This window comes from Homo sapiens, chromosome 9 (assembly GCF_000001405.40).
Source record: "Homo sapiens chromosome 9, GRCh38.p14 Primary Assembly".
Classification (NCBI taxonomy): Eukaryota; Metazoa; Chordata; class Mammalia; order Primates; family Hominidae; genus Homo; species Homo sapiens.
The window spans coordinates 121,727,970-121,741,250 of record NC_000009.12 but is presented as its reverse complement, the minus strand read 5'-3'; the positions used below and the strand labels follow the sequence as shown (position 1 = coordinate 121,741,250).

Here is a 13,281-nt window from a genome sequence, read left to right as displayed (position 1 = left end):
CCTCCCCAAAAGCTACAGGCTTTGCCGCAAGCATCCCCAAGGTTTGACAAGGTTCAAGGCTTGCCTCATCCTATCTTCCTGGAGCCGAATGCATCTGGTGCGCATGTGGGGAGAGGAGGGGGTGTCGAGCATCAGAGGAAACAGGTGGGTGGGAGGCAGAAGGAATGCCTTGGAGCCCTGGCAGAACATCTGGCCACTATTCTTGAGAGGTAGTAGGAGACCTGGGTGCCTTAACCTCCACCCTTACTACCTCACCCCCAGGATTAGTCAGTAAGAAGAGGCCCAATTTGGGGGTTTTGCAGGCCCAGGCTCCAATTCTGGTCGTGTCATTTAGCAACTGTGGAACCCTGGACAAATCCTTTTACTTTCCTGAGTCTCAGTTTCCTCATGTATAAAATGAGGTAATACACTATCCCCTGCAGATAACAGATGTAAAAACACTGGTTAACCAGGAAAAGCATTTAACAAAGCAACTGGGAACCCCAAACTCAAATATCTGAGTGCCATTCATTCAACAGACACTGAAACCCACCAGGCGTCTAGCAGACATTATGTTATCTCCAGCTGTGTATGCCAACCCTGCACCCTCAAGCCGATGCATTCTGAACCCTCCCCAGAGCCAGCAAAAAGTCTTGGGGCAGGGTTGTTGGGGGTGAGGGTTAGAGCTCCTGGCCACCAAAATATTGTGTAAAACATCTCAAACTTCTCCAGAAGCCAAACACATAAAGGAGCCTTCCAGAGAAATACCCTTGGTGTAAAGGAAGTCTAGCTCTGCTCTGGGAAAGACACTTGAGGTAAGCCAGGCTCCAGGATACTCTTATTTAGGGGCCGTGGACCCAGAGAGACTGGTGTAAGGAAAGGGGCTGACGGGGGGAACACAGGGTCAACAGACTCAGCATTCAGTCCAAAAACGTGACAGGGCACAGTGAGCAAGCCTTCCAGAGAGTGGGTGGAGAGGGCTCAGAGAGCTGGGAAAGATCACTGTGGGGGGCCTATCGGCGCTCCTGAATCAGAATCTCCAGGCTGAGATCCACTGGGTCAGCTGCTGCTGGTAAACCTACGCTGTGGACAGAGAACATTCAGGCCCCTCCCTGGCCCTCCCCTCCTCAACATCCTGGGCCAGCTGGGTCCTCACGCACTTCTTTGCTCACTGCTGTCCCCGCCACCTTCTCACCTCCTTTTCCTACTCAACACACCTGTCTGTTCCGACCCCACTGGGTCTCCTTGAGGACACCAAAGGCCTTCATGTTGCCAAAGTCAACCAGTTTCTGTGCCTTACTACCCCGTGAACCCAGGCCACCCTGCTCCAGCTTTCCTCTGTTCTCACAGGCTGCTAGCACCTCACCTCCTTTCCTCCCAGTGCTGGAGCTCCTCAGGGCTGTTTCGGAGACACTTCCTTAGCACAACACTTTCCTTTGGTGATTCTTTCCACTCCCATAGCTCTAAATACCTCCAGCATGCTCACGACTCCTAAGTGCATCCCCAGCCCTATCCTCCTCTGAGCTCCGGACCCATGTGTCTCCATGCTTGCCTGACAGCGCCTCTGGGACACCTCTCGGAGCTTCACGTCTGAAATGTCCAGCGTGGAGCCTCAGTAGCAAAGCCAGGAGCCCTTCCTTTCCCTGGCCTTTGGAATCCAATCCAACACAAATCCTGCTGCTACCCCCTCTGAAATCCCTCATACCTGTTTACTCCTCTCCATCTTCCCCAGGCAGCCTGCTGTCCGGGCAGCCTCCCCAACCACTGGGCTTCCCCTTACCCCTACCAGGGGAGTCAGAGGGACCCTTCAGAAATGCAAATCAGATTACTGAACTCCTCACCTTAAAAGCCTTCAATTACTCCCCACTGCACTGAATAAATCTGAACTGCTACCCAGGTGAAAGACATTGGCAGTCATGACCTACCTACTCTCTGACCTCATCCAGCAACACCCAACGCCCCCCACCACACACACCAAAGTCTCTGTTTCCTGCTCAAGGACTTTGTACTTGCTGCTCCCTAGGCTAGGAGTTCTTGCTCCAGCACACTCTAACAGCAAACTGGCAGGCTTCTGGCATCTTCTGCAACTCAATCCTTCCCTGACTGCTCCATCTACAACAGGTCCTGCCCTGCCCCCATTACTCCCTAGTGGAACACTTGGCTTGTTTCCTTCATAGCATCTTGCTCATGCAGCTAGCAAATATTTAAGTGCAAACTATGTGCCAAGCACTATTTAGGCACTGGGAACACAGGTGCTGAACAAAGCAGACAGAAATTCCCTGACTCACATTTCAGTAGGGGAACTTCACTATGTTTCCCAAAGCAGAATCACTTTGTTTCTCTGCTTATTTCTTATCTGCCTCTCCCATCACAAGGTAAGCTGTGTGTGGCCAAGCTCTACGTGTTGTATTTCTGTGTCTTAAGAGAGGGTCTGACACAGTATAAGAGCTCAGTAAGTCCTGATGAAATCAAGATGCAAAAACAAAGACCAGAGCAGCCAAAGAACCAAACCCCAAACCCTGAGAGACACAAGAAATCAAGAGCCAGGTCTTGAATGCCTCCCATGGCGTCTCTCCCTAACCCTGGGGACCTCAGGTGGGAAGGAAAGCTTCTGTGACAGCCCAGCCTTCTGGGGTCAGACAGAGGCACATGTGGCAGTTTCGTTTAACTGCTCTGGAACAGGTGGATGACTGCAGGCCTGAGAAGTTAGGGAGGCTTCTTGAAGAGGCTAGATCTGAACAAGGCCAACCCACAACTCCCTCCCAGATCTAGGGAGGAGGAAAACACATTTGTGTTTTAGGGCTCTGATGTCTGATGTTCTTTGCTCTAGCAGGAAAGAAGAAAAAAAAACCCTTTACTTTTATTAGTGTCTGGATCAATAAAAGTTTTAGAAGTAAAGCTTCCCTCCTGCAATACTAACTGAGAGAGAGAGAGACAGACATGGATTATTAAATCTGTCTCAGAGAGGCAGGGCTGGGAGAGCGCGAGGGCACAGGGGCACCGGCAGTTTCCCCCTCACCTGTGCTGGGAGCCTCTGGCTAAAGGCCCTCATTAGCCCTGCAGCCTAGGGTCAAGGCCCGTTCCTCACAGCTCACCCACCAAATGCTGGTTCCCTGAGCCTAGGTCAGCAGCCAGGCCGCTGGACACCCACCTTCCAGGTGCCCCACAACCTTGCCTGCTTGGCCTTCTCTGAGCTGTGCCCTAAAGCTTCCCCCCAGCCCACCTCCCCACCTCCAGGTTGGAAGCTCCAGGAGGGCAGGGCTTGCTTCCCTGGAGGAGGAACCAGTTTAGCAACCCCAGCCCCCACCTTCACTCTTCCTCCCATGTCCAAGGGAGTCCCCCATTCAGTCCCCCAAGCCTTGCACTTTCACAGCACACCAACAAGCCCTGCCCACTGAGGACTCAGTCCTGGGACCAGGCCTCATTGGAGAAACAGCTCCTCACCCTCCAGCCCGACCAAAGCCTGTCTGACCCCATACCTGGCTGGAGACCCACCCACCGGGGAGGAAGTTTCCTTGTGGTGTCTGTCCTCCCTCCCACAGGACTTCAAACAGACCTTTGTGGTGGGAGCGCAGGCCTCTCTGCTGACCTGGTTCTGGGCACTTGCAACCCCCGAGGCTCTGGAGCCAGATCTGGCTTCCGAAGATGGCCAGGTCTCCAGTGAGCAGCCCCTCCGGCCCGGCCCAGGATCTTGCCGAAGTTGTCACTAAGAAGTCCAAGGCCACAGAGGCCCATTCCCAAGGGTGGTGCTCACCCAGGCAGCTCTTCTGGACAGATTAGGGGGCCTCTCGGCCGGGCCGGCATCTAAGAGGTGAGCCTAGGAGGGCTTCCCCTTCCCGAAAGGCACGTGCTGAATCTGTGTCTTCCAAGCTGAAATTTCAAAAATGACTTAAATAAACACAGTGATGACAACATCTAAAGGTTTCCGTGTCCTTCAGGAAACAAGTGGAAAATTACCGTCTTCCATGCAGGTAACCACATGGCACAACCTCCAGGTCCAAGAAGACGAGAAACACTCCTGAAAGCAAACTATCGCTTCCAGCCATGGCAAGTCGCCCTCTGGGGCCTCTGGGCAGGGTGCAGGCCAGAGCACAGAGGTCTGGGTCAAGAAAGAGGGAGGAGCCGTCCCTACAGGCTCCTCCCCTAACATACTGACTCCGCCCAAGGTCATATCCTGCCCCAAGCCCCGCCTCTGGGCCTTTGTATTTGCCATTCCGTGGGCAAGGCTGGTTCCTCCTCATTCCGGTCTCAGACCCAAAGTCCCGTCCCAGGAAGAGGCCTTCCCTGATCTCTCTAGCTAAAGGGGCAACTCCCACCTCCCAAGTTATCACCCTGCTTCATTTTCTCCACAGAACTACCCTGAAGTCATCTTGTTTGTTTCTGTCTTTTACCTATCATGAAAATGTCCGGTCCACGAGAACAGGGACCTGCACGCCCCGGTAAGCCCAGCACACCTCGAACCAGAGCCTGGCACAGAGTAGACACTCGACAGATGTACTGAATGAATGAATGCATTTTTCAAGCTGGTCTGAGCCAGGTCAGCCAGAGCAGTGGAAGGCAGGAGCGGGGGAACCAAAAGATTTGGGGGCGCGCCAAGGTAACCTCCCCCGAGCGCTGCTCCCAGAGCATTCCGGACTAACGTCGGGCTGCGCCACGCCCCAAACCCTCTCCAGCCCGGAAGCGGCCCGCCCCAGCCCCAGCCCTCCGGGCCCTCCCACCCGCCCCCCACCCCACAGCAGTAGGCCCAGCCCTTCCCAGGCCCGGCAGCGGGTGACATTCCGCGGCCAGCTGCCTCCAGCTGCAGCCACTTCCCGCTAGCGACCCGCCGCTGCGCTTCGGCACGCCGGGCGGGCGGGACGCGCAGGCCCTGGAGCAGGGGTTCGGGGGTCTCTGCCTTGCAACTCCTTCCCCACCTTCGTGCGAGTCTGGGTCCCCACCGGCCCCGCCAGCCCCTCACTTGCCCGCGGCCCGGCTCTCGCGGCGCATTCCAGTTTGGCCCGCTGGCCCCACCCCGGGTTCGTCGGGCTTAGACCAGCGCAGCCCAGAGACCCAACCAAGGCAAACGCTCTCCCTTCCCCACATTTCCATTCCAACATTTTAACAAGTGAACACAACTGAGGTCCAGACAAGGCCAGGGGTTTGTCTACCATGATCCCCTAACCCGACTCCCCACCCCGACTTGGGTCTAGACAGCCTAAGCTGAGAAGGGCACTGGGTTCCCAGGCAGCAGTCCCGGGTTTTCTCTTCTGGAAAGCACCCGGCTAGTCCGGCAGGACAGAAGGGAAAGGTCGGGTGCAGGGAAGGAGGAGACAGGCTGGTGAGCTGTGTGAGCTGCCCAGGTTCCCGATTGCGCCCAGAAGCCTGGGGGCAGACAAACCCCTGCCCCACCTGCTGGCCTGGAGATTCATCCTTGGGTCATTTAAACACGGAAACAAAAACCCCTAGGGGAAAGGCACACCCAGCCAACCAGGTATTTTTGCCTGGGGTCACCCTTTTTCCCATCCCACCAGAGAAGCCACCGCAATGGTATCCACTTACTGAGTCTCTACCACATGCAGGGTATCATACCGTCACACCTCCTTCCCTTACAGCCACCAGCAAGAGGTGCTAATCCAGCTGAGGCCAGGAACCCGAGGCTGCACAGCCTCCCGATGTAAATATGAACAGAAGCCAGTGGGAGAACAAGAGCCACACCCTGGAGTCCCACCTAGGTCCTGCCCAGCTCCTCGCATCCTCCACCCTAAGGCATCACAGACCCCAGGTCAGTCCTTGGCAGTTGCAGCCTGCGCCACTGTTTTAGCAAACAACTACTGAGCTCCTACTAAGCTGCAGACTGTGTCAGGCACCTACTGTGTACAGGCAGGCAGGATACTGTCTGGGGTTATTGCAGGACTGGTGAAGAGGTTTTACTGTGTCCCCAGCAGCAGCCCCCAACCTGGAAAGTCCCTGACTCATTCCATCCCCTGCTGGGCCCTAGGCTCCAGGCTCAGCTCTGCCGTGCACACAGGCCAGGCGATCCAACACCACCCCGTCTGCCCACATTTGCATCAGTCCACACCACCAAAGCCCCAAGAGCTACCCAGCTCCCCCTACTGCCTAAAAGGCTCCCAGCCAGAAGAGCACTTAGTGTCCTGTCCCCTTCCTTCTGAGAAGTTTTCCCTCAGAGCTGTCATCTGTTTATCCAATGTCTTAATAAAATTTCCTAGCAGGGGAGAGGTGAAGATAGAGTCTCAGAGAGGTCCTGGGGCCAGAGAAGCCCCCTTTGGCTCCAGAGCAGCCAAACCAACAAGGAAGGCGAAAGCAGAGTGCATCCTCTGAGCACCACCTCCCTCCAGGGTGCAGGCTCCAAGCCAGGTCTGCTCCCACTGATTTCATGATCATGGCAACAAACAGGCAAGGCAGATACTGTGACCACTTTATAGATGAAATCAAGTCTGGAATAGCTAAGTCATTTGCTCAAGTTGACCCAACTACATCTGAAAGTGTGCCTCACCCCTAGACAACTGTTTTTGCACCTTTTACTAGCCCCCTCATTTCCCTCCTCAATCTGAATAGTCCTTCCTCCTGGAAGCCTTCCTAGATTTCCCTCAGGCAAGAAGCATCCCCTTGTTGAGTCATCCCCACTGTTATAATATCTTGTTATAAGAAAACAGGGCCCCATAACAGGGCCTTTTCCTTTGCATGACAGCTCTCATAGTAAGGAGTCACGAGCTAACAAGAAATGAGCCTGCATCTGAGGGTCAGAATATGTCCATCTCCAGTGGGTCTCCCACCCTCACCAGCTGTCTGCTGTTGCTTCCTCTGTGCCCTCCTTCCTAGCCCCTGCTCAGAAGTCTGCATAACCGCTTGCAGGCTCCTTTCAGCAACATCTTTTTTTTTTTTTTTTTTGAGACGGAGTCTCGCTCTGTTGCCCAGGCCGGACTGCGGACTGCAATGGCGCAATCTCGGCTCACTGCAAGCTCCGCTTCCTGGGTTCACGCCATTCTCCTGCCTCAGCCTCCCGAGTAGCTGGGACTACAGGCGCCCGCCACCGCGCCCGGCTAATTTTTTGTATTTTTAGTAGAGACGGGGTTTCACCTTGTTAGCCAGGATGGTCTCGATCTCCTGACCTCGTGATCCACCCGCCTCGGCCTCCCAAAGTGCTGGGATTACAGGCGTGAGCCACCGCGCCCGGCCCAGCAACATCTTTAGTAACACATAAAAGTACAGAGTACACAGTGACCATTCTTGGCCACGTGTAGCTGGGGGAATTTCAGAAGCTGCCCTGATCCAGTCACTCCTGGTTTCAGCATCTCCTGTGGCCACAGAACAAGTCCAGAGCCTTGGGCCTCGCCCATCAGTAGGTCCTACCTGTCCCTGCACACTCCTCACCTTTATACCTGGAGCTTATCACAGGGAACAGTCACAAAGCCCGCCTCCTTTTTTACTCTTCCCAGTGCATGCCCCGCCTTTCTCACAGTCACACACTTGCTTCCACGAGGCTCCCCTCCTGCCCCCATTTCTAATTTTCATTCACCTTTCAAGGCCCAGCTCAACTGCCCCCACCTGAGGGAAGCCTTCCCAGTGGCCCCGGGCACAGGAAAGTGCACAATCTCTCCCTTTCTCTGCCTGAATTCCTGGTCTGACTCCCTTCTCCTGGCTACTGCTGCCTGCCCTGCCAGGCCTTCCTTGGGGTCTGTTCATCTCTGGTTCTCAGGGCCTAAGGGATTCCATACGTGAGTGATGGAGAAACACACACTGCAGGCCGTCTTCTCCCCAGAGCTCAGGATGCTCCTGTCTTATCTTCTTTCAGATCTGAAGATGTCCTCAGCAACTGGGCTAGGCTCTCTGGGGGAGTCTGAAACCCTCCCACCTCAAAAAGCTTCCCATTTCTTTGAATGACAAGAGAGTCTGGGCCACGACTGTCAAGGAATACCTCCAGGCAACGCCTGTACATCCCGTGGGGAGAGATGCATGCATCCTGGGAGAGGAGACATCTCTTCTTTCTAGAGACTGAGCAGACGACAGAGGCTTTTTCTAAAGGAGGGTGCTGCTAAAACCCACCAACTGCCCCAGGATCCGTCTGTAGGACAGAAACAGGTACAGGGCCAGAGACGGATGCCCTGTAGCAAAGTCAGCCCAGGGCCTGGCTGTTCATGAATAAGGGCTTCTGAAGAGACCACAGTTGTACCACAAGGTACAAGAGACCACAAGGGCTTCTGAAGAGACCAGTTGTACTTAGCTGAAGGTGAGAAAACAAACTTGGTATTAGATTGAGGGCCAACTCAGGAAGTAGTTTCAGTGCACCAGCTGTTAATTTATGTGAGTACATCTATACTTGTGTGGCTTTATCATCACCAACAAACAGCAAATGTGTCCTGGCACCTGCTATGTGCCAGGCCCAGCGCTAGGTATTTTACAGACATTATCTCCTTTAATTCTCCAAAGAGCCATAAGCTGTGGCTATCCATGCTACATTTTACTAAAAATGAAGCAGAAGCACAGAAAGGTTGGAAAAGTTGCCCAAGCTCACATCGCTAGTTACTGGTGGGAGCTGGGATTCTAGGACCCTCAACAATCTGGCCCCAGCCTGTCCCTCGGGTCTGAGCTGCCAGTGTTCAACACTTCAGAGCCTCTGCTCGCTGTTCCTGCCCCTCAAGCTCCCCACTCACCTAGTTTTGAGCTGTGTGGGTGGTTAATGTATGTCATCAGCCCACAGCCTCCCTACTCCCTTCCTCCTCACCACCTATTCAGTTCCCCCAGCTCAGATCCCCTTCTCCCTCCAGACCAGCCAGGCAGACTCCTACCCATCTGGCTACCTCTGCCCCACTACCAGCCTGGTCGCATCACCTCCGCCTGCCAGGCCCCCAACCAGTGTCTTATGGTGATGACTTTGGCTGGCAGAGAATCCTGGAACCTTTTCTCCACAGTGATGTTGACACATGTTCACTCCAAAAATGTAATGTTTCCATCAAAACATTTAGTGGGAGTAAATTCCCACCCATGCGACATCTCTAAAAAATATAGAGTAAATTTACTCGAACAAGCAGTGAGACATGGTCAGCATTTTTCTTTCTTGGTTGTCACAGTGCCAAGTACTAGGCAACACCCAGCATAGTGTGCCAGGGGCTGAATGCTACCAAGAGGCAACGGAAAGAGGACGGTTACAGTTTATGAGCCTGTGACTGCTGGTTCTATTGTACAAGACGCCGGGATCAACCTGGGCAGTCCCCTCAGCCCTGGCCCCCCAGAGAGTCCAGTGCCACTCTGGGCTCCCACCAGAGCCATTTCTGTGTCTGTGGCTAGGTCACTTGCTGCTTAGTCCCCAAGTCCTGCGTCCACCCCACCAGAGTAGGGCCCAGCCATCACCACACCATGTCTACACGAGGTCCGAGGCCTAAGTTCACATGCATGCTTCCTGAAAGGTCAGGGAACTCAAGCCTCCCTAAACACTCCCCAACCCTGAGATCAGCAATAATATCGTGGGGTAGTGCAGGGAGATCCTGCTCTACACCCAGACCCCAAAAGAAGAGATCTAATGCCAGGTACTGTAACCCGGGCACCTGGAGGTCAGTGGTTGTGGGTAGGTCCCAACCAGCCCCAGCCCCAGCCCCAGCCCCAGCCCCACTGGGCAATCTGAGATGACCGTGAGGCCAGAGCAGTCCATTCTTGGGGCAAGCCCAGCACTCTGCAGCAAGAAGCTGGAGGAGACAAGGAAAGGCCCACTGGCCACCACTCTGTTCCCACTTCCCCATGTAACCAGACAGCAATTCTATAACAAGACAGCATTTATAACCACTATGCCTCGCCTCCTTAGATACTCCCTACTTCAAGGAGGGCAGAGGGGCAGCCTCTGCTTTGGTTTCCTCCCAATGTTTCTCTAGACTCCATTCCGTCAGCCATCTGGCACAGTGCTGCCATGTGTGATATTAACCTCCTTGCCGTGACATGTGCCAGAGGGAGAGAGATCACTGTTCCCATTTTACAGATGTGAAAACAGGTGCACCGGGTTAAACAACCAGTCCAAGGCCACCCAGCTGGGAAGGAAGTGACACCAGGAGCCAAACAGGTGAACAAGACACCCGGTCTGTCCTCAGGAAACTGGCAGTTTAGTAGAGAGGGGAAGGTACACAAATATTAGGACCAAACAAAAAAATATATATAACAGGCTGTAGGCCCAGAAGATGTGGTGAAAAGTGTCCAGGGCAGGGCCTGGACCAACAGGGGACCTAGAGAGACTGCAGGAGCATTTCCAGTTTGGGAGCAGGGAATCAGGAAAGGTATCTGGAGAGAACGATGTCCAAGCATATCCTTCTTCAGAGATCTGTGTCCCCAACAACTTCTGTGCCCCCACCAACTTCTGTGCCTGGCACATGGTGCACACTTCTCATTGCCAGGAGGGTTAACCCTGGGCAGGCTGCTGGCATGTACACTGCAACCCATCTACAACAGGACAGCCCAGCCCTGTGAGGTATGTCAAATTATGCCTCCTTTACAGGTGGGATCAGAGGAGCAAGGCAGTCAGGTTCTTTGCTCCCAGTCACACAGCTAGAAAGTGCCAGCTGTGCCTGACTCTAAGGTCTGCTTCTCCCACAAGCACTTCATTTCTCTAAGCCTTAGTTTCCTCATCTGCAGAAACTCTGCTGCAGATGCACCTCCCCTACAGATAGGTGTTGGACATTAAATGTCTAATACCTGAAGCCTAGGTCCCTGGAGGTGCTGACCACACAGTTACGGAGCCTGGACCCACACTGGCCCAGGGACCCTGCCCCTGCAGCCTGCTGGGCGAAAAAGGAGAGGGTGATAGGTTCTATTCACTGACTCCTCTCTTCCTGAGCCAAGCTTCCCAAGGAATGGCTACCAATATGGAGCTATAATTGGTGAGCCTGGCAGTGCAGGGCCCAGCAACAGACCCGGCGGGTGATGCTGTTGCAGGAAAACAGCTGAGCACAGCAAATATAGCCGTTGACCCAATTCAGTTCTGTTCTGTCTTCGAGAAAATAATTGAGTTTAAATGAATAGGTTTCCCATGTCCCTTCTGGCCTCGGGAAGGGTGGAAAGGGAGAGGAGGGAGATAGGAACAGTTCTTCAGGCTTACTGTTGCTTATTTTTGAGTCATTAGGCCTGTGAAAAGTTTCTTTCTTTCCTTGGCGGCCAGTGGGGGTTGGACATGGCTGGGAGGCAGCGAGGTGGAGTGAGAACCACAAAGCGTGGAGATGAGGATGGAGGTTCAAGTCCTGACCTTACCAACAGCTTTGTGGAGTGGCCCAGCTGGTCCCCTCTGGGCCCCAGGCTCCTTATCTGCAGAATGGGAACACTATAACCCCACACACACCCACACACCTCCCAAGGTTGCTGGGAGGAGCCTTCCAGGGAGAAAAGGAGTCTGAGGTGAACTGAAGAAACCAATTATTTGCCCTATAGGAATATAGGCCCACTGAAGCCACATCTGTCTTAAAATAGAAGCCAGAAACCTAGATTTTCAGGTGAATGTTTAAGGTAAATGTTCTAGTGTTGGTGAATGATTTTAAACAAACAAACAAAACAAAAACTTTCCACCCCATCGGGCCAAATGAGACCTGTTTGTGGGCTACATCTGGCCACCAGCCATCCATATACTATCTCTGATTTAATGACAACCTATGTAAAGCAATTAATGGTGTGCTAGAGTCCTCCCACCTGTTTACTTATAATTTCTTTGATGGAGAGGCCAGGCCTACCCCGCTTGATAGCAGAGGTAAGGAGCACCCTCCTCCTCAAGGCTGGACTCCTTCAAGACTTCAGAGGAGAACATGGAGGAGCTGCTGCCCTCCATCCCTTACTGCAGGAAGGCAGGTGGGTATGCTGGGGCTGGTTTTGTCATAAAGTTAAGGGGACCTGGGCTCACCTCCTGCCCAGCCCCAAATTCTCTCCTAGGGTCTCAGCTTCCTCTTCGGTAAAATGGGGGTTTCTGAGAGGAGCAAATGAGAAAGAGAAGGCTTAGAGATAAAGGGTGAGAACACATGTCAAGTGTCCCCAGAGAAGTAGTGCTAGCCAGTGGAAAGAGCCTGTGAGCTGGCATTTCCCCCTTGGCTCTTGGCTGTGTGAGCCCAGGGAGGTTACCTAACCTCTCTGCACTTCAGTTTCATCCTCTGTACACAGGAGATAAGAATCTTTGGGACACAGAGGTGTTGTGAAGATTAAATGAGCTGATGACTGTCAAGTACCTGGGAGGAAGCCTGGCACAGAGCAAAAGACTAAAAAATGACAGGCATTATTACTATTGTTGTTGTTATCTTTAGTGAAAAGCATGCCAGAGAATTATGATTGGGTGATTACAATAATGTAACTCAACCAGGCAAACTTGTCGTTAACAGATGAGGCCACCTATAATTAGCACAATTATTACATATGCAAATGATGCTGCTTAAATACTGGAGAAGGGTGTTCTTTGAAGTGTGTTTAAATAACCCCTTCCCCTGGCTGTCCCCCCCTCCCCAAATCTCATTTACACTATTAATAACATTAGCAAACATTTTCTTCATAAAGCTAGATAGAATTCCACACTAGTGCATGTTGAAATCAAGAAGCCCCTGCCCAGCCCACCTGCAGTCATTCTAGAGCTCCTGGGCCAGCTGCAGGCCTCCCCACCCTCACTGGCTCCTCTTAAGTTGGGCACTAATGCCCCTCTCTGATACAAGGAGCTCTGGAGGGTTGGGTATGTATTCTTGGCATGGAGCAGGCCCTGTATCTGAGAACAGGATCTCAGTAGCATTAATAAGACCCGTGAGTTCCCTATTGGCAGGCATATCACAATGCCTACCTTACATCTGAGAAAACCCAGTCTTTGAGTTAAGGAACGGGCCCAAATTCACGCAACTAGCAAAAGCTGCAGTGGAACGGGACTCAAACTTGGATCAGACTCCTCCCTCTGGGGTCTGCTGTTCTCACTATGGCCTGAAACTGCAGTTCCCACAGACCTCTCTAACTGATGAGCCCACAGGGTGTTACTCCAAAACTGATCACAGGATGCCTCTTAGAACCAGGGGCATCAACAGACTGACCTGGGTTTTGAGTTGAAGAAACTGAGATTCAGAGAAGTACCATGAGTTGCCCAAGGTCCCAAGGGAAGAAAGGAGAACAAGGGCCTAGAACCCAGGGCCTCCTGCCCTGGGATCGCTGCTTTTGCATTCAGATCTTTCAAAACAATTCCATAATATTCTCCCCTATAATAGCTGGGTTGGTACTTTAACCATCCCCTGTATGCCCTGAGCCCAAAAAAGACCCAGGCAGACAACAGGTGCTTATGAAATGTTTGCTGAACTGGACTGTTTTCTTACAAAA

General features: G+C 53.0%; 1 protein-coding gene and 1 long non-coding RNA gene across 4 annotated transcripts in view, besides 1 other annotated feature; one reads left to right on the top strand and one right to left on the bottom strand.

The window, feature by feature from the left end:
* The window catches only part of DAB2IP (DAB2 interacting protein), a 218,457-nt gene that overhangs the window by 44,280 nt on the left and 160,896 nt on the right, over nucleotides 1-13,281 (bottom strand). The window lies entirely within an intron of this gene.
* Nucleotides 2,606-3,382: an enhancer, noted in NCBI's record as "H3K27ac-H3K4me1 hESC enhancer chr9:124500148-124500924 (GRCh37/hg19 assembly coordinates)". NCBI's record gives its function as "activates a minimal SCP1, AML or CMV promoter by ChIP-STARR-seq in naive H9 embryonic stem cells {active_cell/tissue: H9 hESC(naive)}" and the evidence as "EXISTENCE:reporter gene assay evidence [ECO:0000049][PMID:30033119]".
* On the top strand, nucleotides 4,201-9,007 carry LOC105376257 (uncharacterized). Of its 2 annotated transcripts, XR_930314.4 has the most exons (3): nucleotides 4,201-4,418; nucleotides 5,571-5,740; nucleotides 7,772-9,007. It is a non-coding gene; the product is annotated as an uncharacterized LOC105376257 (long non-coding RNA). The 2 variants fall into 2 exon arrangements; XR_007061754.1 differs by lacking the exon at nucleotides 4,201-4,418 and having other exon boundaries at nucleotides 5,334-5,740.